Source organism: Homo sapiens, chromosome 1 (genome assembly GCF_000001405.40).
Source record: "Homo sapiens chromosome 1, GRCh38.p14 Primary Assembly".
In the NCBI taxonomy this organism is placed as follows: Eukaryota; Metazoa; Chordata; class Mammalia; order Primates; family Hominidae; genus Homo; species Homo sapiens.
Window position 1 is genome coordinate 150,463,730 of NC_000001.11, and position 23,145 is coordinate 150,486,874.

General features: G+C 44.7%; 1 protein-coding gene and 1 long non-coding RNA gene across 17 annotated transcripts in view, besides 1 other annotated feature; both read left to right on the forward strand.

The window, feature by feature from the left end:
• The window catches only part of RPRD2 (regulation of nuclear pre-mRNA domain containing 2), a 112,420-nt gene extending 99,583 nt beyond the window's left edge, over positions 1–12,837 (forward strand). For 4 of the 16 annotated variants that reach the window (NM_001387124.1, NM_001387123.1, NM_015203.5 and 1 more), the window contains 2 exons: positions 798–998; positions 6,832–12,837. In NM_001387124.1, coding sequence (NP_001374053.1) covers positions 798–998; positions 6,832–9,605 — 2,975 coding nt within the window. In that variant the 3' untranslated portion in view covers positions 9,606–12,837. The remainder of the gene's footprint in view (positions 1–797; positions 999–6,831) is intronic. The other 12 variants (NM_001387122.1, NM_001387120.1, NM_001297673.2 and 9 more) reach the window with 5 other exon arrangements.
• Positions 8,755–9,267: an enhancer, noted in NCBI's record as "H3K4me1 hESC enhancer chr1:150444960-150445472 (GRCh37/hg19 assembly coordinates)". NCBI's record gives its function as "activates a minimal SCP1, AML or CMV promoter by ChIP-STARR-seq in primed H9 embryonic stem cells {active_cell/tissue: H9 hESC(primed)}" and the evidence as "EXISTENCE:reporter gene assay evidence [ECO:0000049][PMID:30033119]".
• Positions 20,782–21,625, forward strand: LOC124904416 (uncharacterized). The gene is made up of 2 exons (XR_007066600.1): positions 20,782–21,060; positions 21,316–21,625. It is a non-coding gene; the product is annotated as an uncharacterized LOC124904416 (long non-coding RNA).

Below are 23,145 nucleotides of genomic sequence, written 5' to 3' on the forward strand. Positions count from 1 at the left end.
GTCACATGAAATTATGCAGTGGCTGAGTTATACAACTGCAGTGGCTCTCAGCATCCAGTCAGCCAGCAGTATTTATTGAGCGCCTACAGGGCTCTGAACTGTAGGTGCCATTTGGTGGAGAAAAAAGATTGTCCAGGTGTGGTGGTACATGCCTGTAATTCCCAGCACTTTGAAAAGCCAAGGTGGGAGGATCACTGGAGGTCAAGAGTTGAAGACCACCCTGGGCAATGTAGCAAGACCCTGTCTCTATTTTTTAAAAATAAATAAGAAATATTGGGGCTCTCAAAACTATGAAAATCACTTAATACTTGTTTTTTTCAAGACAGAGTCTCACTGTGTCTCAACTCTTGTCTCACTGCAACCTCCACCTCCTGGGTTCAAATGATTCTCCTGCCTCAGCCTCCCGAGTAGCTGGGATTACAGGCGCCTGCCACCATACCCGGCTAATTTTTTATTTTTGGTAGGGACAGGGTTTCCCCATGTTGGTCAGGCTGGTCTCGAACTCCTGACCTCAGGTGATCCGCCTGCCTCGGCCTCCCAAAGTGCTGGGATTACAGGTGTGAGCCACCTCGCCCGGCCAATACTTGTTTGTTTTAATGGTGTTCCAAGTAAAAGGAGATAATCTTTTCAGGGTTTTTTTTTTTTTTTTTGTACATGTCATGTTATGATGGACCATTTGTGGATCAACCACAGAAGAATTCCTGTTAAATATATCAAACTCATTGAAGTGAGGGGAAGTATCGGAAATTGAAGTCATTTTGAATTGCATTTTCTTGAGTTCATCTTTCTGCCACCAGGGGTCAGTCCTGCATCAAGACCTTCTCCAGGAACGCCCACCAGCCCCAGCAACCTCACCAGTGGCCTGAAAACACCTGCACCTGCCACGACAACATCTCACAACCCTCTGGCAAATATCCTCTCCAAGGTGGAGATCACCCCAGAGAGCATTCTGTCTGCACTTTCCAAAACCCAGACACAGTCAGCCCCTGCACTGCAAGGTAACTGACATATGCCAGAGGGACTCGAATTGTGAATGTTTGTCTCTGGCTTAAATTAATCCTGGATTCCATTTCTGATGAATCCAGAGCCATAAAATGTATAACACAGTTAATTCATTATTCTTTTTATTTATTTATTTATTTATTTATTTAAAATTTTTGAGATGGAGTCTCACTCTGTTGCCTAGTTGGTGTGCAGTGGAGTGCTCTCGGCTCACTACAACCTCTGCCTCCTGGTTCAAGTGATTCTTCTGCCTCAGCCTCCCTAGCAGCTGGGATTACAGGCCCACACCACCATGTCTGGCTAATTTTTGTATTTTTAGTAGAGATGGGGTTTCTCCATGTTGGCCAGGCTGGTCTCAAACTCCTGGCCTCCCAAAGTGCTGGGATTATAGGCATGAGCCACCATGCCTGGTGGTCATTATCCTTTTTTTTATTTTAGACAGAATTTCACTCTTGTCGCCCAGGCTGGAGTGCAGTGGCCCAATCTCAGCTCACTGCAACCTCAGCCTCCCAAGTAGCTAGGATTACAGGTGCCCACCACCACATCCAGCTAATTTTTGTATTTTTAGTAGAGACGGAGTTTTGCTATGTTGGCCAGGCTGGTCTCGAACTCCTGACCTCAGGCAGTCCACCCACCTCAGCCTCCCAAAGTGCTAGGATTACAGGCGTGAGCCACTGCGCCCCTCCTATTTTTTTTATATTTATCATCTATGAGCTGACATCTGAAGAATTATAAAATGTGAAAGCTGAAAGAGACTAAGTATTATCTAGTCTAATCCCTTACTTTTCAGGTAAGGAAACTAAGGCTCAGTAAGGTGAAAAGATCTGCTTATGGTCACATACCTATCTGTCTATTCAGTATGAGCCAAGACTGAAGGCCAGATTTCTTGACTGGAGTTCAGTATTCTTTCACCTACACCATGACACCCTAGGGGCTGCATTAGTCCCAGCTTTTAATACAGGTTTATATATGTTGAGTTTTATTAATTTCAGTGTTAACCAAAGCTGAAGACAGTAGGAAGGGTCCATTTATTATCAAAAAATATGGCCAGGTGCAGTTGCTCACGCCTGTAATCCCGGCACTTTGGGAGGCTGAGGCGGGCAGATCACCTAAGGTCAGCAGTTCAAGACCAGCCTGGCCAACCAGGTGAAATAACATCTCTACTAAAAATATGAAAATTAGCCAGGTGTGGTGACACACACCTGTAGTGTGCTGAGATCGCAGTAAGCCGGAATCACGCTACTGCACTCCAGCCTGGACGACAGAGCAAGACTCAGTCCAAAAAAAAAAAAAAAAAAAAAAATTTTTTTATGACGCTTCAAGAACATAGTGAAACCCTGTCTCTACAACGGAATTAAAAATTAGCGCCGGGCGCGGTGGCTCACGCCTGTAATCCCAGCACTTTGGGAGGCTGAGGCAGGCGGATCATGAGTTCAGGAGATCGATACCATCCTGGCTAACACAGTGAAACCCCGACTCTACTAAAAATACAAAAAATTAGCCGGGCGTGGTGGCGGGCACCTGTAGTCTTGGCTACTTGGAAGGCTGAGGCAGGAGAATGGTGTGAACCCAGGAGGTGGAGGTTGCAGTGAGCCAAGATTGCCCCACTACACTCCAGCCTGGGCAAAAGAGCAAGACTCTGTCTCAAAAAAAAAAAAAAAAAAAAAATTAGCTGGGCATAGTGGTGCATGCCTGTAGTTCCAGCTACTCAGGGGGCTAAGGCAGGAGGATCACTTGAGCCCAGGAGTTCAAGGCTGCAGTACGCTGTGGTCACCCCACTGTACTCCAACCTAAGTGATGAGACCCTGCCTCAAAAAAAAAAAAAAAAAAATTTCTGAGACATGAATATATCTTTTTTTGTCCTAATGTTTTATAGAGGCTTCATTATTTATTATTTTATTTATTATTTTATTAGAGTCTTAGATGTAGTATTTTTGTTTTCACCTACCTATAATCTCTCTCATTTGACCCTTTCTGTTCAGCTTTACTAATTATGTTTTGTGCATGACACTGCCTGTTTCTAACCTTTTTTCATAAATCTTTCCTACTCTCTACTCTCTTATGCTCCAGATACCAATGAAATCCTTTTTAAGTACCGTAGTATAATTATGAAATGAATTACAAATACCAGGGCAATATATTCAGTGTAGTGATTTACTCTATATCAGTAGTCTCAACCAAAGGCCTCCAGGGAGGACACTTGGCAATATTTGGAGACCTTTTTAGTTGTCTCAACTGGGGTAATGGTAGGGGTGCTACTGCCTCTAGTGAGTAGAGGCCAGGAGGATGCTCCTAAATATCCTACAATGTGTGAGACAGCCCCAACAATAAAGAATTATCTAGCCCAAAGTGTCAGTAGTGCTGAGGTTGAGAAACCCTGCTCTCTATCAAAGGAGTGGTGTAAAACAGTTTCCTAAACTGTTATGTAAGTGGATCATTCAAGCATATTATAGTGAACTTTGTCTGGAGGTGCAGAAGAATTTTGTTACACAGAACTAAATAGTATTAAGTAATAATCCACAGCCCCTATCTATTGGCATCAGCAATAAAGAATTGATGATGACTGCAGCACATGTTGTACTACTAATATCAGGGACAATTTGAGAGTTTGACATGTTTATGCTTTCTCCCTTTTTATTTTTATTTGTTTGTTTGTTTTTGAGACGGGGACTTGCTCTGTTGCCCAGGCTGGAGTGCAGTGGTGTGATCTCGGCTCACTGCAACCTCTGCCTCTCGGGTTCAAGTGATTCTCTTGCCTCAGCCTCTCGAGTAGCTGGTATTACAGGCTCACACCACCATGCCCGGCTAATTTTTGTATTTTTAGTAGACACGGGGTTTCGCCATGTTGGCCAGGCTGGTCTCGAACTCCTGACCTCACGTGATCCACCTGCCTCGACCTCCCAAAGTGCTGGGATTACAGGTGTGAACCACCGTGCCTGGCCGATGTGAAATTTCTGATGAGGCAAAATTTGAACAGAACTAGGTTCCTTATGGAATGTGGAATTCTCTTTGACTTTTAAAAGGATTGTATCTAGCAAGTTAAATAGATGTATTTCCTCGAAGACTGTTAATGAAATCCCAGAACTTTGTTCTGATTGTGTCATCCACAGCCCTAGGTATTGACAGATTTATAACACAAAAGAGAGACTTCAGGCCCGGTGTGGTGGGTCACACCTGTAATTCCAGCACTTTGGGGACGGGTGGATCACCTGAGGTCAGGAGTTCAAGACCAGCCTGGCCAACAGGGTAAACCTGTCTTTCCAAAAAAAAATACAAAAAAATTAGCTGGGCGTGGTGGCTCACAGCTGTAACCCCAACTACTTGGGAGGCTGAGGTAGGAGAATCGCTTGAACCCGGAAGGCAGAGGTTGCAGTGAGCCAGCCTGGGCGACGAGCAAAACTCTGTCTCAAAAAAAGAGAAACTTCAGTGGGCAAAGGAGCAGAGTATGACTTGTTATGATTAAAGAGCAAACTTTTGGCTGGGCGCAGTGGCTCATGCCTGTAATCCTAACACTTTGGGAGGCCACGATGGGAGGATCACTTGAGGCCAGGAGTTTGAGACCAGCCTGGTCAATATAGCAAAACCCCTATCTCTATTGTTTTTAAGAATTTTTAAAAATAATTAAAAAAAAAAAAGATTGGAGAACAGTAATATTTAGTGGTGAGAGACAATTTTACCTATTACCAGAAATCTGAGTAGTATATCTATCTTAAAAAGATGTTCTTTTGAAGAAGTTATCCCAAAATATCTGAAAAATATGCTGAAATATCTTCTAAAAATCATATTACATTATTATATATCACATTCTAGTGTTTGAGGACTTCTGGGTTTTGTGAGAACAGTGATTACTAAGAATTAAATCAGGCTGGGCATGGTGGCTCACGCCTGTAATCTCAGCACTTTGGGAGGCTGAAGTGGGACAATCACTTGAGCCCAAGATTTTGAGATCAGCCTGCGCAACATGGTGAGACCTTGTCTCTACTAAAAATAAAAAAGTTAGCTGGGCATAGTGATGTACACCTGTGGTCCCAGCTACTCAGGAAGCTAAGGCAGATAAATCTTTTGAGCCCAAGAGGTTGAGGTTACAGTGAGCTATGATCGCACCACTGCACTCCAGCCTGGGTGACAGAGCAAGAGCCTGTCTCTTGAAAAAAAAAAAGGAAACTATTAGTAGGGATGAATTATGTGGCTAGGGAACTTTTTTTGGAATGAAACATGCCGATTTTTTTTTTTCTTCAGAAGGATCATAACTAAAGTAAACATTATTTCAGTTGTTTGGATATTACTGAATATTGGATAACAATAAAGACCATCCAACATTATTTAGAAATAAATGGCTTTAAAATGTTACAAGGATGGAGGGGACTTGAAATTCTTTAGGCCAAATCTGTTAGAATATGGGTTAAAATTGAAATTTTGAAGAAATGTTAATTGAAATATCACATGAAGTATTTTCTTTAATCATATAATTACTAAGGAACAATGTTAGTGTATTCAGTGACTAAAAGCTATAAATTTGGGTGAAATGTATATTAAAAATTTTTTTAATTAATTTATTTTTAAATACAGAGACTCACTTTGCCACCCAGGCTGGTGTGCAGTGGCAGAGTCATAGTTAGTTTACTGTAACCTTGAACTGGGCACAAGTGATTCTCCAGCCTCAGCCTCCTGAGTAGCTAGGACTACAGGCATGCACCATCATGCCCAGCTGATTTTTAAATTTTTTTTAGAGACAGAGTCTCTCTGTGTTTCCCAGGCTGGTCTCAAACTCCTGGCCTCAAGCCATCCTCCTGCCTCTGCTGCCCAAAATGCTAGGATTACAGGCATGAGCCACCGTGCCCAGCCAAAAGTCTTCATTTGTGACCAGAAATTGGGTAAATTTTTAAAAATATGATTGAATTTATAGAACCTTCTGTTATCTTTTTGTCAAATATTTTTCTAAAAAATTTTCTACAGGAGCAGTTTGCTTTGTTGAACTTCAGCCTTTGCCCCAAAGAATTCTTTCTCAGTGCTTCTGAGAAAGTTTTGACTGTCAGTGAACACAGTTAAATTCCATCATTGTCAATCTGGACTAAATAATCCTTGGATTTTCCACACTATAAAATGGGGATTGTGTGTTTTCTTGTGAAAGGACCAGTGTCCCTGGTGGTCTGTCTTTGTAAGTCTTTGTGGTGTATGTTTGTTATAGCTACATTTTACAACCAAAACGGATGGTTGAAAGCATTGTTTTTCAAAAAGTAACAACAGTCTACCAAGAGGTGCTTCTTGAAAAAGGTGTTTGCTGTTCAGATAAGTTTCTGAAATTTGCATTTGCCTGTCTCCCGCTTGAAAATAACAATGTATATTAACTTATTAGAGATAATAAGTTTGAAGGTTGAAGGTTGGTTTGAAGGTTGGACAGGAAAGGTAGAACAGATCTGTTTGCATTTAGAGAAACACTTCCACAGATCAAACATTAAGAAATACTGGCTTAAAGTGTTGTTTTAAGAATAACTTTGCCTCCTTTCTTTTCCTGCTTTGCCTAACTTAAACTATGAATGATTCTGACATTAAAATCTCCCCCTTCCTGTTGCCTTTTATTGTGCCATGTTGGGCTGATTTCTGGACTGTACTGGAAACATTTCAGTGATTTGCTCTTTATTGATAAAATAGGCCCTGTATTTTCTGTGACATTTAGCCATTGCTTGTTTGGTCTGGATTCCTTTTGGCCTTACACTTTGTCTATCTGGTTCCCACCAAAATGAATGAGAGTATCTGATTAGCCTACATTGTTTGCATTGTATGATAGGGAGTTGTTCTTTTTAACCCCTCTAATCTTTGTTTCTACAGGCCTGTCATCTTTACTTCAGAGTGTTACTGGGAACCCAGTTCCAGCCAGTGAAGCTGCCTCACAGAGCACTTCAGCCTCCCCTGCCAACACCACAGTCTCTACCATAAAGGGAAGAAATCTGCCCTCCAGTGCCCAACCTTTTATTCCCAAAAGCTTCAACTATTCTCCTAACTCATCAACTTCTGAAGTCTCTTCAACTTCAGCCAGCAAGGCCTCAATTGGGCAAAGCCCAGGGCTCCCAAGCACTACTTTTAAACTACCTTCCAACTCTTTGGGGTTTACAGCTACCCACAATACTAGCCCTGCTGCCCCACCTACTGAAGTTACCATCTGCCAATCTTCAGAGGTCTCCAAGCCAAAGCTGGAGTCAGAGTCCACCTCCCCAAGCCTGGAAATGAAGATTCACAACTTCTTAAAAGGTAATCCTGGTTTCAGTGGCTTAAACTTAAACATCCCAATCCTGAGCAGTTTGGGGTCCAGCGCCCCATCAGAGAGCCATCCCTCAGACTTCCAGCGTGGCCCTACTAGCACCTCAATCGACAACATTGATGGAACCCCTGTACGGGATGAACGGAGTGGGACACCCACCCAGGATGAGATGATGGACAAGCCCACATCCAGCAGTGTAGATACTATGTCCCTGCTTTCTAAGATCATTAGCCCTGGTTCCTCAACACCCAGCAGTACAAGATCACCACCCCCTGGGAGAGATGAAAGCTACCCCCGAGAGCTCTCCAATTCTGTATCTACATATCGACCCTTTGGTCTGGGCAGTGAATCTCCCTATAAGCAGCCTTCTGATGGAATGGAGAGACCATCTTCCCTGATGGACTCTTCACAGGAAAAGTTCTACCCAGATACTTCTTTCCAAGAAGATGAGGATTACCGAGATTTTGAGTATTCAGGGCCTCCACCCTCTGCCATGATGAACCTAGAGAAGAAACCAGCCAAATCTATCCTGAAATCAAGCAAGCTGTCTGATACCACCGAGTACCAGCCAATTCTGTCCAGTTATAGCCACAGAGCCCAAGAATTTGGGGTAAAGTCTGCCTTCCCTCCATCTGTAAGGGCCCTCCTGGACTCTAGTGAGAACTGTGACCGTCTCTCATCTTCCCCTGGGCTATTTGGTGCCTTCAGCGTAAGAGGGAATGAACCTGGGTCTGACCGGTCACCATCACCGAGTAAGAATGATTCATTTTTCACCCCTGACTCCAACCACAATAGCTTGTCTCAATCTACCACTGGGCATCTCAGTTTGCCACAGAAGCAGTACCCAGACTCTCCTCACCCAGTCCCACATCGTTCCCTTTTCTCTCCGCAGAACACCCTTGCCGCTCCCACGGGTCACCCACCCACGTCAGGCGTGGAGAAAGTCCTGGCCTCCACCATTTCCACCACGTCGACGATTGAATTTAAGAATATGCTTAAAAACGCCTCACGTAAGCCCTCAGATGATAAGCATTTTGGCCAGGCTCCCAGCAAGGGCACTCCAAGTGATGGTGTCAGTCTCTCAAACCTCACCCAACCCAGCTTGACCGCCACTGATCAGCAGCAACAAGAAGAGCACTACCGCATAGAAACCCGCGTCTCCTCCTCCTGCTTAGACTTGCCTGATAGCACAGAAGAAAAGGGGGCCCCTATAGAAACCTTGGGTTATCACAGTGCATCCAATAGGAGGATGTCAGGGGAGCCGATCCAGACCGTAGAGTCCATCCGAGTTCCTGGGAAGGGAAATAGAGGACATGGGCGTGAGGCTTCAAGGGTGGGTTGGTTTGATCTGAGCACATCAGGTAGCTCTTTTGACAATGGCCCTTCAAGTGCCTCTGAGTTGGCATCCCTTGGGGGTGGGGGCAGCGGAGGCCTCACTGGCTTTAAAACAGCACCATACAAGGAACGGGCACCTCAATTTCAGGAGAGTGTCGGCAGCTTTCGTTCCAACAGTTTCAACTCAACATTTGAGCATCATCTTCCCCCATCCCCCTTGGAACATGGGACACCCTTCCAGAGAGAGCCAGTGGGGCCATCATCTGCCCCACCTGTCCCTCCTAAGGATCATGGTGGTATCTTCTCTCGAGATGCACCCACTCATCTACCCTCTGTGGATCTTTCGAACCCCTTCACAAAGGAGGCAGCCCTGGCCCATGCTGCCCCACCCCCTCCTCCTGGAGAGCACAGTGGAATTCCTTTCCCTACCCCACCTCCTCCTCCCCCTCCTGGGGAACATAGCAGCAGTGGTGGGAGTGGTGTCCCCTTTTCTACTCCACCCCCTCCTCCACCCCCTGTTGACCACTCTGGAGTTGTACCCTTCCCAGCCCCACCACTGGCAGAGCACGGAGTGGCAGGGGCTGTGGCAGTATTTCCCAAGGACCATAGTTCCCTCCTTCAAGGGACCCTGGCTGAGCATTTTGGGGTACTCCCAGGACCCAGGGACCACGGGGGCCCCACCCAACGGGACCTCAACGGCCCTGGCCTTAGCCGTGTACGAGAGAGCCTCACCCTACCCTCCCATTCTCTGGAACACCTGGGCCCACCCCATGGAGGAGGAGGTGGGGGAGGCAGCAACAGCAGCAGTGGCCCCCCCTTGGGTCCCTCACACAGAGACACCATCAGCCGGAGTGGTATAATCTTACGGAGTCCCCGGCCAGACTTTCGGCCTAGGGAACCTTTTCTCAGCAGAGACCCATTTCACAGTTTAAAGAGACCCAGGCCACCTTTTGCTAGGGGCCCTCCGTTCTTTGCACCAAAACGCCCATTCTTCCCTCCCAGGTACTGATGGAAACCAAGGGAAAGGCATTTTGAACAGTCTAGAGAACATTGGAAGTAGGAGTTTGGTTTATTGTTGTTGTTTTTATTTGTTTTCTCTTTCTCGATTTTTTTTTTATTATAACAAAGGGCCTCTCTTCCAAAGTAAGAAATCACATACGCTTACGTTTTACTATTCAATTCAATCCTCCCTCCCATTGCACTTATCTACCTTCCCCAAGTTGTTTGTATTAAAAAAAAAAAAAAAAAAAAAAAGTAAAGAAACACAACCAAAGCCATTTCATTTGGCTGGGGGGTTGGGGAGTGGGGAGGAAAACAATCTTTATTTTACCCCATCTATTGAAGAGTATTATTACATTTGAAATAAAACTTCCATCAGTACAGATAACCACATGTGCAATGTTGGGATGTTATTTTGGGCTTGGCTTATCGAGTAGTCAATGGAAGGATTCCCGTCCCCTCTCTCGGCAGCTTAGTAACTGCTGTAGCCAGCTCGGCTCCCTTCCCTGTGTATCTGTGTCCTGCTAACAGCCAAGAGATGTTGCAAGGGAGGAAATGTGAGAGACCTTGAACCTGTCAGGTTTATTTGTTTTGTTTTTAAAGGCATGTTGAAGTTTAGTTCTTTACCCTTCTCCTAAAATCTTTTTTTAATCAGCCTCAAGGTTAAAATAAGGAGTGACTACAGTATGTAAAATAAGGAAAGGAAGCATTAATGGTGTGATGTGACCTGCCTGTTTTTTTGTAAACAAGAGAATAGGAAATGTTTTCAAGGTAGTTTCACATGTCTTGCACCAAGCTCATGCCTCTTGCTTTTCCTTTTTGACTTTATCTCCCTCAGTTTTTCTTCTGCTGTGGCCAGAAAGACAGTCACTACAGTTGACTATTGATACAAAGGTGCAACAGAAATATTATCCCTGCATTTTTAAATATAAGAAGTAGACATTAATTTTACCATGGTGCCTCCCTAATGTAAGTGATATTTATTGGTGGTTTTCAACAAAGGTTAACTATTAAAGAAAGAAATATTTGTCTTTATCTTCCTTTTCCCCTTGCCTCAGTCGTGTTATTCACCCCTATTCTTGATATTTTAAAGGAGGAGATTCAGTAGCATTTTCCTTTATATTATACACATGTGTCTATCCCATTTCAAGGCTCAAGTCTTACCCCCACCTCTCGCTCCCAATAGGAAATAAAGACCATTTCTGCCCTTAGTTGTTTTACATGCAAGATAAGTGCTTTCCTTCTCCCTGGACTGAAAGACTTGTTTGTATTTCTACATCTAGTACTTGGGAAATAGACAATCACTGTACTTTGAGTGTTTATATCTTTATATCTAGGGACACTGAAAAGTAAATGTTGCTTTACTACAATTTTTTTTTAATTTAGTGTCTTACCCCAAGGCATACTCAACTGATAATCTCCAGCTAGATGAGTAAAACAGTATGTGTTTAGTTTTCCAGAGAATTCTGGCAAGTTTCATATTTTCTTCCAAGTTAGTATAGAACTAACTATAGGAAGTATGGGGTTGCTTTTTCCTCCAGTAGAATATTAAAGATGGGGGAGGGTGGGCAATGTAGTGACAGAAAATGATTCTCTCAGAATGAACTTTTCAGAGAAAGAGCAGCATAAACCAGGTGCACATCATGATTTGGGAGTTTTTGCGTAATTTATTCTGTTATTTATTTGGGCTCGCCATGTGTTCTGGGGTTAGGATGCTGCAGGTCATTCATCTTCTTAATGCCTGTCTGGTCTTAAGCCAACTGTTCTTTCTTTCCTCGACCCTCTCTGCCCTGTAGCTCTCCCCACAAAAATGCATGATACCATGACCTTACGTGTGGGATGGGGTATGTAGTGTAGCAAAGAAAAGAAAGTATAGTTATATTGAGTCCTAAGACATTTGTTAGGGAAAAGCATAAGAGAAAATGGGGTGGGAGGTGGGGAAATGATATTTGACTTTCAAAATTGAAATAGGTTTTTTTTTTGCAGAAATTAAATGGGATGTTTTTCATTCTAGAATAAAAGAATGTGAATTCTCTTTGCTGCTCTTGTTTAAGCTAAAAGTAGTGTTTACTTGATAAGGCTCTCTGACCATTTAATTTTTATCAGAAAATGTGGGGATGTCAGGAAAGTGGCTTCCTGAACGTTGGGGCGGGATAATTGTCCTCAAAAGTATGATGGTTAATACATGAAAGGAAGACTTTGTTGGACAGTTTCGAAGGTGGGCTTTTAAGGAGTTGGGTTTTTGTGGGGTACTTTTTTGTTTTTTAAGCCACAAAATCCTCAATATGTTTGTTTTAGGATGGAAGTGAGGATTTGTATGAGACTGTCAGCTATTAATTTTAAGGAAATCTTAAAATTTACATTTACATCAGTAAATGAAGATGACAGTGTGTATATATGTGATAAATAGTGAAACAGAAAAGACAGTTCTGGTATTCATAACGTGAAAGAAAGGGGTTTTATTCTTTCTGTGTCTGTGATTTAAAACTCCGTGACCATGCTCTGACTTTTGTATTTCAACCTGAGTTTAAACAAATAAACAAGATATTTTTTAAAGAAAGCATAACATAGTGTGTCTTAGCAAGGACATGATTCATATGGAAGCAGAATGTGAGAAGTTGTAAGGTCCTTGGTACTCACTGTAAAATCACAGACAGAGAATTGGTAGGGGTTGTGAATACACTAGTACCACTTAAAGTTCAGTGATACAGTTCAGAAATAGGGTCCTTAAGTATTTTGAAAGAGTTTACTCTTCAGTCAGCTTAGATGAGAGCTCTCTCCCTGCTCCCCTCTACCCTCTCAAAAGTTGAGAGTAAATAGAATTTGGTTTGATTCCAGGGAGGGGAAAATAAGCAGAGAATAGGACTTTTATACTTTCCAATACCAGGAATAAAATGTTTGTGATATATATGGGTCCAGCAAACCTATCGAGATAATGTGAATACGATAAACTTCCTAATGGCAGGATATTCACTCTCAATCCTGAAGTTACCGGTTCCTGCAGAATTGAGCTTCAGCTGTTACTGTTTTGAAGCCGCTGTAAATTACTGCTTTCCCCAGTTCCCCCACTATTTTTTTTAAGTGGGCGGGGGCGCCTGTTAAGATCTAAAATAGATATGTTGGATTGATATTCTCACGTGTTCGGTGTGGAAAACAAAACAAGTACATGCTTTAGAAGCAACAACAATGAAATCCTTTTGAAATGTGTGTTAATATCGTTTAATAAAATAACTAGTTTGAAAGGTTTGACATTTTTCTTTGAGACGGGCTTGGACCAGGGGCCCCTGGCTTCCTAGTGAGTGCAAATAGGAGGGAACTTCTCAGGAGCTGAAACCGCTGCTTTGTGGAGCAGGCCTGTGGTTGGAAAACCTAAGTTTTCTCTAGCAAAGACCCAGCCTGACTGTCCAGGGCCGAAGGTGAAACCAACTAGAGAATGCAGAAGGAAAAGCCTGGATATATCTCAGAAGATATGGTTGTATTGGCTTTTGGTCCAAGGGTATGGGGGTGGGAGTAGTGGTGTGTGCGCCCACACATTTCTCAGGCACACACAGAGATACCACAGACCACCCACTTCGTAACCACTTGCACTTTACTCTCTTCCAGACGTTCCTTTTTTTTTTAATCCCTTTGTCCCCATTATTTTGTTTTCCAGTTTAATAAAGTATGGTTTCCTTTGTTGTGTGGTTGACTTTTCCCCTCCTGTTGATCTTTTCCAGATGTCCCCTTTGACTTCTGCACTTAATGTCACTGAAGGCAATCTGAGCCTCTTAAGATCTTTATGGCCTTGTGGGTTTTCTGTTTGATCCTTTGTGTAATTGAATTTTGGAAAGGGATAATGGGTCGGGTGAGTTCTAGATGTTCAGGGAGTGGTTGGTGAAGTGGGATATACTGTATTAATAATTTTTTGTGCATGTCTTCAAAAGGTTGTGCAACTGTGAGCCAAGAAGCATTTTTAAAGCAAGCATAGAATTGGGGGTTTGGGGTGGTAGCAGGGATCCTTCTGGCCAATTATTTGCCCACATCTGCCCTTACTGCATATTGGCAATCTGTTGTGCAGAAGCCACACTTAACCCTTCTGTCTTACCCCATCCCTTGTTCATAACCCAGTGAGGCTGGGTTGGAATGCTGGCTGTAAGGGGTAAAGAGGGATAGTCACTGCATCTGGGCCAGGCCTGGGTCACTGGCAGGGTAGAAGGCTCTAAATAGCAGCCTTGCTTATGTGAAGGTACGTACATGTGTCACCAGACACTTAAATAGCAGTGGCCTGGGAACACACCCAGCAGGTAGGGTGTACCACTGTACTGGAATCTGGCTCACCCTTTTTTTCCTTGTCTCTTGGGACCTTGACTTGCCCACCTGATTTCTATATCTACCCCTAAAGAAGCAACAGCTTTGAGACTTCCTCATAAGGTTTTCTGGGCATGTTATTCATAATTTCCTCTGCCTAATTTTTTTTTTTAATGTAAGCCAATCTTGTGTAGCAGGGATGAGTTATTCCTTCATGTATGTAGACGTAGCAATGCAAACACAATCAGAATGGGTTTTGGGGTATTGGGGCGTTTCTCATACTTGTTTATGAGTAACTGTATGGACAAGTCCGGTCAGCTGCTGTTCACAATTGCTAAGTAATAACTCACTGAGGCTGCATAGGCAAGGCTACGAGAGGGTCATCAGTAAGAGAGATATTGGCCCTTAAGTAAACATCCTGTTCTGTCTTCCCCATGTAGAAGGAAATAGAAGCACTCTAAAGCAAAGAAGCAAGTGCAGTGTAAAACTATCAGTTACTTTTAATTAATTGCTGGGGAAAGAAAGGAGAAGCCTTTGCTTAGTTACAAGTTTGAGGGGAAGAGGATAAGAAGGCCAACATCTATGTAAAAGTTGATCATTGCAGTTACAGTCAACCCTCCTCGGTATCCATGAAGGATACCAGGTTCCAGGACCCCCATGGATACCAAAATCCACAGATGCTCAAGTCCCCTACATACAATGGCATAGTATTTGCATATAACCTACACACATCATCCAGTAAATTTTAAATCATCTCTAGATTACTAATACCTAATACAATGTGAGTGCTATGTACATAGTTGTATACAGTATGTTTTGAAATTTGTGTTACTTTTAATTTTTTTATTACCTTTTCCTGAATACTTTTGTGGTTGGTCGAATCCATAGATGCAGAACCCCCAGACAGAGCCAACTGTACATTTCCTTTTTTAAATGTTACGTTTTTCTATCCTTTGTTCACACCTAGGGAAGAATCAAAAATTGAGAATACAGATATGGGTGGAGGGGCTAGTGAATTCTTCAGTGCCAACTGAGGAAACACAAATACAGACTAGGCGTGGTGGCTCACGCTTGTAATCCCAGCACTTAGGGAGGCTAAGGCGGGCAGATCGCTTGAGATCAGGAGTTCAAGACCAACCTGGACAATATGACAAAGCCCTGTCTACTAAAAATACAAAAATTAGGGCCAGGCGTGGTGGCTCACGCCTGTAATCCCAGCACTTTGAGAGGCCAAGGCAGGCGGATCACGAGGTCAGGAGTTTGAGACCAGCCTGGCCAATATGGTGAAACCCCATCTCTACTAAAAATACAAAAATTAGCTGGGCGTGGTGGCACGCGCCTGTAATCCCAGCTACTCAGGAGGCTGAGGCAGGAGAATCGCCTAAACCTGGGAGGCGGAGGTTGCAGTGAGGCAAGATCGCACCACTGCATTCCAGCCTGGGTGACAGAGCAAGACTCTGTCTCGGAGTGGGGGGAGGGGGGGACATTAGCTGGGCATGGTGGCACGCACCTGTAATCCCAGCTACTTGGGAGGCTGAGGCAGGAGAATCGCTTGAACCCGGGAAGCAGAGGTTGCAGTGAGCCAAGATTGTGCCATTGCACTCCAGCCTGGGTGACAGAGTGAGACGCCGTCTCAAAAGGAAAACACAAATGCAGGTTGCAGGTTTTTGTGTTTGACTTGAGAGTTGGCTAAACCAGTCTACCCTGGACATGTTCAGGGTCATGGTAAATTGGATATTCCAGCGATCTTCCTTCCTCATCCCCATTGTGTCCCCTTATTTTCGAGAATTACTCATATCCTTTGCCACATAATTTGTGGGAGAGGAGAGAAAAGGACTTGAAACTTGCTACATTTTTCTTGGGGTGTTTCAGTTGGAATGGGTAGAAAGGAGACCGACAGCATCCCTTTCCTCTGTTTCTCCCTCCTCCCTGGCTAACAGTCCTTTGCACCTACATGAGACAACACTGAAGATAGTCAATCATTGCCAGGGGCAATAGTGATTAGGAAATGATTTGAAATCTTTATTATTTAGAAGTGAGCCTCAGTTGTATGCAGGTTGAGCATCCCAAATCCAAAGTCCAAAATCTGAGCACGAAAATGACACTCAAAGGAAATGCTCATTGGAGGATTTCGGATTTTCAGATTAGGGATGCTCAAGCAGTAAGTATAATGCAAATATTCCAAAATCTGAAAAGATTCAAAATCAGACACTTTTGGTCCCAAATATTTCAAATAAGGATACTCAACCTGTATTTCCTTCTACAGATGTTATCTAGGACCTTCTTTTAGAGTACTTTGTCCTTCCCTTTGTTTTTTACTTTAGCGTGGAACCTAAATGGACACATCCCTACCCTAGACTAGCTCCTGTGTTTGGCGGATCTCCTCTTTTTGCCCTGACCTGACATATCAGTTGTGTAAGAGCTGGGGTGGGAGTGTCTGCTTGTTTTTCTTCTACAGCCCCAAGAGATGTTCTGGGAAGGGAAATCTTAGTAGAGATTTTAGGTGAGCCCAAGGGTTTGTTTTCAAAGTCAAAGTTCAATTTATCCATGCCCCTGACAGAAAGCTTTTACCTCTTTACTCATTCAGCAAATGTGGCTGAACATTCTCTCCCATTGTGGCTTTTCTTTTTTTTTTTTAATAGAGACAGGGTCATGCTTTGTTGCCCAGGTTGGTCATAAACTCCTGGGCTCAAGCAGTCCTCCTGCCTTGGCCTCCCAAAATGCTGGGATTACAGACATGAGGCACTGTTCCCGGACACATTGTGGCATTTTATTTTATTGATTTTATTTTTATTTTATTTATTTTATTTTTTGAGACGGAGTATCATTCTTTTTTGCCCAGGCTGGAGTGCAATGGCGAAATCTAGGCTCACTGCAACCTCTGCCTCCCAGGTACAAATGATTCTCCTGCCTCAGTCTCCCAAGTAGCTGGGATTATAGGCATGTGCCACCATGCCTGGCTAATTTTTTTTTTTATTATTATTTAGTAGAGACAGGGTTTTACCATGTTGGTCACGCTGGTCTAGAACTCCTGACCTCAGGTGATCCACCCACCTCGGCCTCCCAAACTGCTGGGATTACAGGCGTGAGCCACTGTGCCCGGCCTGATTTTATTTTATTTTATTTTATTTTATTAATTTTGAGATGGAGTTTCACTCTTGTCACCCAGACTGGAGTGCAATGGCGCGATCTCGGCTCACTGCAACCTCCACCTCCTGGTTCAAGCAATTCTGCCTCAGCCTCCCAAGTAGCTGGGATTACAGGTGCCCACCACCACGCCCAGCGAATTTTTGTATTTTTAGTAGAGACGGTGTTTCGCCATGTTGGCCAGGCTAGCCTCAAACTCCTGGCCTCAAGTGATCCACCCGCCTTGGCCTCCCAAAGTGCTGGGATTACAGGCATGAGCCACCATGCCCAGCCCTTTTATTTTATTTTTAGAGACGGGGGCCTCACTCTGTTGTACATGCTGGAGTGCAGTGTCATAATCATAGCTCACTGTAACCCAACTCCTGGGCTGAAGCAACTCTCACCTCAGCCTCCTGAGTAGCTGGGACTACAGGCATGCACCACCATGCCCAGCTAATTTTTTTTATTTTTGTAGAGATGGGATCTCACTATGTTATCCAGGCTGGTCTTGAATTCCTGGGTTCAAACGGTCCTCTGCCTTGGCTTCCCAAAGTGCTGGGATTATAGGTGTGGGGCACCATGCCCAGCCTATGATGGCATTTTAAAGCAAAGTTAAAGATTGGCCCCATCCCAGATCTTCCACTTACATTACTAGGGAATTATTTTTTAAAAAATAAACCTAACTTCCCTACCACTTGTGCCTTTAGCCACTTGGCTACTTCTCTGGGCCCCAAAGGTTTTTGTTAGCAATGACATAATCCTTTCTTTTCTTTCTTTTTTTTTTTCTTTTTTTTTTTTTTTTTTTGAGACGGAGTCTTGTTCTGTCTCCCAGGTTGGAGTGCAGTGGCATGATCTTAATTCCTTGCAACCTCCACCTCCCAGGTTCAAGCGATTCTCCCGCCTCAGCCTCCCGAATAGCTGGGACTACAAGCGTGCACCACCATGCCCAACTAATTTTTTGTGTTTTTAGTAGAGATGGGTTTCACCATGTTGGCCAGGCTGGTCTTGAACTCCTGACCTCAAGTGATCTGCTCACCTCACCCTCCCAAAGTGCTGGGATTACGGGTATGAGCCACCACACCCGGCCTCATAATCCTTTCTTTATATATTTTACCTTATTCCTTTTTTTTTAACCTCTAATATCTTTTTTTTTTCCTTTGAGACGGATTCTTGTTTGGTTGCCCAGGCTGGAGTGCAGTGACACGATCTCGGCTCACTGCAATCTCTGCCTCTGGGGTTCAAGTGATTCTCCCACCTCAGCCTCCCAAGTAGCTAGGACTACAGGCATGCGCCACCACGCCAGGCTTTTTTTTTTTTTTTTTTTTTTTTTTTTTTGAGACAGAGTCTCTCTCTGTCACCCAGGCTGGAGTGCGGTGGCGCAATCTCGGCTCACTGCAAGCTCCGCCTCCCGGGTTCACGCCATTCTCCTGCCTCAGCCTCCCAAGTAGCTGGGATTACAGGCATGTGCCACCACACCTGGCTAATTGTGTATTTTTGGTAGAGACGGGGTGTCTCCATGTTGGTCAGGCTGGTCTCGAACTCCCGACCTCAGGTGATCTGCCCGCCTCAGCCTTCCAAAGTGCTGGGATTACAGGCGTGAGCCACCGCGCCTGGCTAATTTTTGTATTTTTAGTAAAGACGGGCTTTCACTATGTTGGCCACGCTGATCTCAAACTCCTGACCTCAGATCCACCTGCCTCAGCCTCCCAAATGCTGAGATTACAGGCGTGAGCCACTGCATCCAGCCTTCTCTTTTTTTTTTTTTTTTTTTTTTGAGACGGAGTCTTGCTGTGTTGCCCAGGCTGGAGTGCAGTGGTGCGATCTCGGCTCACTGCAAGCTCCGCCTCCCGGGTTCACGCCATTCTCCTGCCTCAGCTCCCGAGTAGGTGGGACTACAGGCGCACGCTGCCACGCCCGGCTAATTTTTTGTATTTTTAGTAGAGACGGGGTTTCACCATGTTAGCCAGGGTGGTCTCGATCTCCTGACCTCGTGATCCACCCGCCTCGGCCTCCCAAAGTGCTGGGATTACAGGCATGAGCCACTGTGCCCGGCCTCTGCCTTCTCTTTTTTTTTTTTTTTTTTTTTTTTTTTTGAGACAGGGTATCATTCTGTTGCCCAGGTTGCAGTACAGTGGTGCAATCACGCCTCACTGCACTGGATCTCCTGGGCTCAAGCAATCTTCCCACCTTAGCCTCCCAAGGCACATACCACCATGCCCAGCTAATTTTTTATTTTTTGTAGAGATGGGGGTCTCACTATGTTGTCCAGGCTGTTGTCGAACTCCTGGACTCAAGCAATCCGCCTGCCTCAGCCTCCAGTGTTGGGATTACAGGCGTGAGCCACCACACCCAGCCAAATATACTTTCTACATCTTTAGTGCTTCTAAGAAGTAAGATAGATTTGGAGGTATGTGCTGATCCTGAGGACAAGTGGAAAATATTTACATGTAGTTTAAAGTTACATGTAGTTTAAAGCTATAAAAACAATACCTTCTGAACTAGGACTCTAGTCACCTTGGAATTTCTATTCCAAAAGTGGAGTTAAGCTGAGAATTTCCTAAAATTTTACTAAGGGCCTAGGACACCCTTCACTGTGGATTCCCTTTTTCCTGCACTTCTGTGGAAATCTAGCTTTATTTTGTGCACACTTTTTTCCTTAACCTTAATCTGGTAGAGAAAAGTCGGAAGACGCCTCTTTTCTTGGCTTTCTATTGGACCCACCTCTTTTACCCTATATCAAAGGCCTATTTGGCCACAAGTATCAGAATCTTATAACCTGACACATTATGACCAATCTGGTCCCTGAGAGGCAGTATGGCATAGCATAAACAACAAGGGCTTTGCATTCAGATAGACTGGGGGCTTTACTTCTTTGAGAATCATTTTCCTGTTTTAAAGGGAGTATACTTGACATAGTTGTTTTAGGAATTAGGTGAAATAGTGAAGGCATAGCACCGGGTGTTCAGTAGTAGTCTAGGGTGGAGGGGCAACAGCCCAAGTTTTAAGAATAGATGTTTCAAGCCAGGCATGGTGGCTCACGCCTGTAAACGCAGCACTTTGGGAGGCCAAGGCAGGTGGATCACCTGAGGTCAGGAGTTCAAGACCAGCCTGGCCAACATTGTGAAACCCCATCTCTACTAAAAATACAAAAAAATAGCCAGGTGTGGTGGCGGGCACCTGTAATCCCAGCTACTCGGGAGGCTGAGGCAGGAGAATCGATTGAATCTGGGAGTCGGAGGTTGCAGTGAGCCAAGATCGTGCCATTGCACTCCAGCCTGAGCAACAAGAGTGAAACTCCATCTCAAAAAACAAAAAACAGGCCGGGCACAGTGGCTCACGCCTGTAATCTCAGCACTTTGGGAGGCCAAGGTGGTCGGATCACGAGGTCAGGAGTTCGAGACCAGCCTGACATGGTGAAACCCTGTCTCTACTAAAAATACAAAAATTAGCCGAGCGTGGTGGCGCGCACCTGTAATCCCAGCTACTCAGGAGGCTGAGGCAGAAGAATCACTTGAACCCGGGAGGCAGAGGTTGCAGTGAGCCAAGATAGCGCCACTGCACTCCAGCCTCGGCGACAGAGCAAGACTCTGACTCAAAAAAAATTAGCTGGGTGTGGTGGCGTACACCTGTAATCCCAGCTACTGGGGAAGCTGAGGCAGGAGGATCACTTGAACCCAGGAGGCGGAGGTTGCAGTGAGCCAAGATCATGCCACTGCACTCCAGCCGGGCAACAGAGCAAGACTTCACCTCAAAAAAAAAAAAAAAAAAAAAAAAAAGAATAGATGTTTCCTAGGCTGACTAATGGATTAAAATTCCCCAATACTGAGGCATATGCTAGTCACAAGTCCGAAGTTGTAGAAGAACCAGTAACTCATGAATTGGCCTTAGCTTGCTCTTGCACTTGCTTACTTGCTTGCTTGCTTCTTACAGAGGGCGGATGGAATAACTCAACATTCCTTCCTTCCTCCACTGCAACACAAGTTACATAGGTGATGATGTGGTAGTTGATTGATCGGCATCCCCTCAGCACCCAGCTCACTGCATTGCACACAGTAAGCAGTTAGTAAATGAGAGCATCAAATCAATACCGTGATTGGTACATACTTGATTCAATAATTATTGGGCACCTACCATTTTGTTGCCTGCAATACACCTTTCCCCTTTTGGTGCAGAGGCATGAGAAGAATTCTGCCTGTTGCCACCCTTTCTGAATGCCATTTAAAAATTCTTAACTACCTTCTCCAAACCACACACACACAAGTTATCTTCCTCTCCCACACTCTTGTCTCTTTCTCTTTGTATTTCAGGGTGTCTACCAGAAGATGGACCCAAGATCCATGGAGGCTCCTGTGACTCAGATCAACTGCCCTGCCCGGGAAACCTGGTCTCTCCGGAAACCTTGATTAAACTGCTTTTTCTGACACCTCTTCCTCTACAACCCTTGATTCTATCACCATTGAAACTTCAGAACCAACTCTAACCATCCCCACCTCCAGGTGAGGGGACTAATGAGAATTACTGACAGCCTGATGGCTACCCCCAAGTCAGTTTCCCTTCATACTTTACTACAAATCTGACCATGTTCCCATATTTACTGAGTAAATTTGATGAAATTTACCTAGTCCTGTGTCCTAGATGTATCAGGGAGAGGGAAGAGAAAGGATAAAGGAAGTTGAGAGCTGGGATAGGAATTAGAGGCAAAGGGCTTATGTAGGGAGCAGAGAGCTAAAATTCTAGTCAGGCACCTCTTTCTGAGGTGATGGGGGAGTATACTGGGAGCAAACTCTTCTAGAGAAAGCATGGTGTGGTAAAAGAAAACCAAGCTTGGATTCAGAAATCACCATCAGCACTTGCTGTTTGACCTTAAATTCCTCATCTGTCAGATTAAAAGGTCTCGGCCGGGCATGGTGGCTCACGCCTGTAATCCCAGCACTTTGGGAGGCTGAGGCAGGCGGATCACCTGATGCTGGGAGTTCGGGACCAGCCTGACCAACATGGAGAAACCCTGTCTCTACTAAAAATACAAAATTAGCTGGGCCTGGGGTGGCACATGCCTGTAATCCCAGCTACTCGGGAGGCTGAGGCAGGAGAAGCGCTTGAACCTGGGGAGGCGGAGGTTGCGGTAAGCCGAGATCACGCCACTGCACTCCAGCCTGGGCAACAAGAGTGAAACTCCATCTCAAAAAAAAAAAAAAAAGATTAAAAGGTCTATAAAGTCCCTATTAAGCACCATGAGTATAAAGGGACTCAAACTGACCTCTGCAGATTCTTGATTCCAGCTTTTTTGTTTTTGTTTTGTTTTGAGATGAAGTCTCGCTCTTGTCCCCCAGGCTGGAGTGCATGGCGTGATCTCGGCTCACTGCAACCTCCACCTCCCGGGTTCAAGCGATTCTCCTGTCTCAGCCTCCCAAGTAGCTGGGATTACAGGCGCCCACCACCATGCCCAGCTAATTTTTGTATTTTTAGTAGAGACGGGGTTTCACCATGTTGGCCAGGCTGGTCTAGAACTCCTGACCTCAGGTGATCCACCCGCCTCGGCCTCCCAAGTAGCTGGGATTACAGGCGCCCACCACCACGCCCAGCTAATTTTTGTATTTTTAGTAGAGACGGGGTTTCACCATGTTGGCCAGGCTGGTCTAGAACTCCTGACCTCAGGTGATCCACCTGCCTCGGCCTCCCAAAGTGCTGGGATTACAGCGTGAGCCACTGCGCGCGGCCATCTTTGCTCCAGCTTTAAAGTGGTTACTCCAGAGGCTGAGGTGGTCAGTTGAGCCCAGGAGGTCGAGACTGCAGTGAGCCATGATTGTACCCCTGCACTCCAGCCTGGGCAACGGTGAGACCTTGTCTCAAAATTAAAAAATAAAACTGTTACAGTCATTTATCATAATAGCTTCTTGTTGCTTTTGCCCATTACCAAAAAACCATGGGCCACACTAGACGATTTACATAAAATTTAACTCAACAATTGGGAGCAACACTATTCTCATTTTATAGTTGAGAAAATTGAGGCTTAGAGAAATTAAATAGGTCAGGCAAGGCGGCTCATGCCTGTAATTCCAGAACTCTGGGAGGCCGGAGCGCGGTGGCGGTTTGGTGGGGGGGAGGGGAGGGATTGCTTGAGGCCAGGAGTTCGAGAC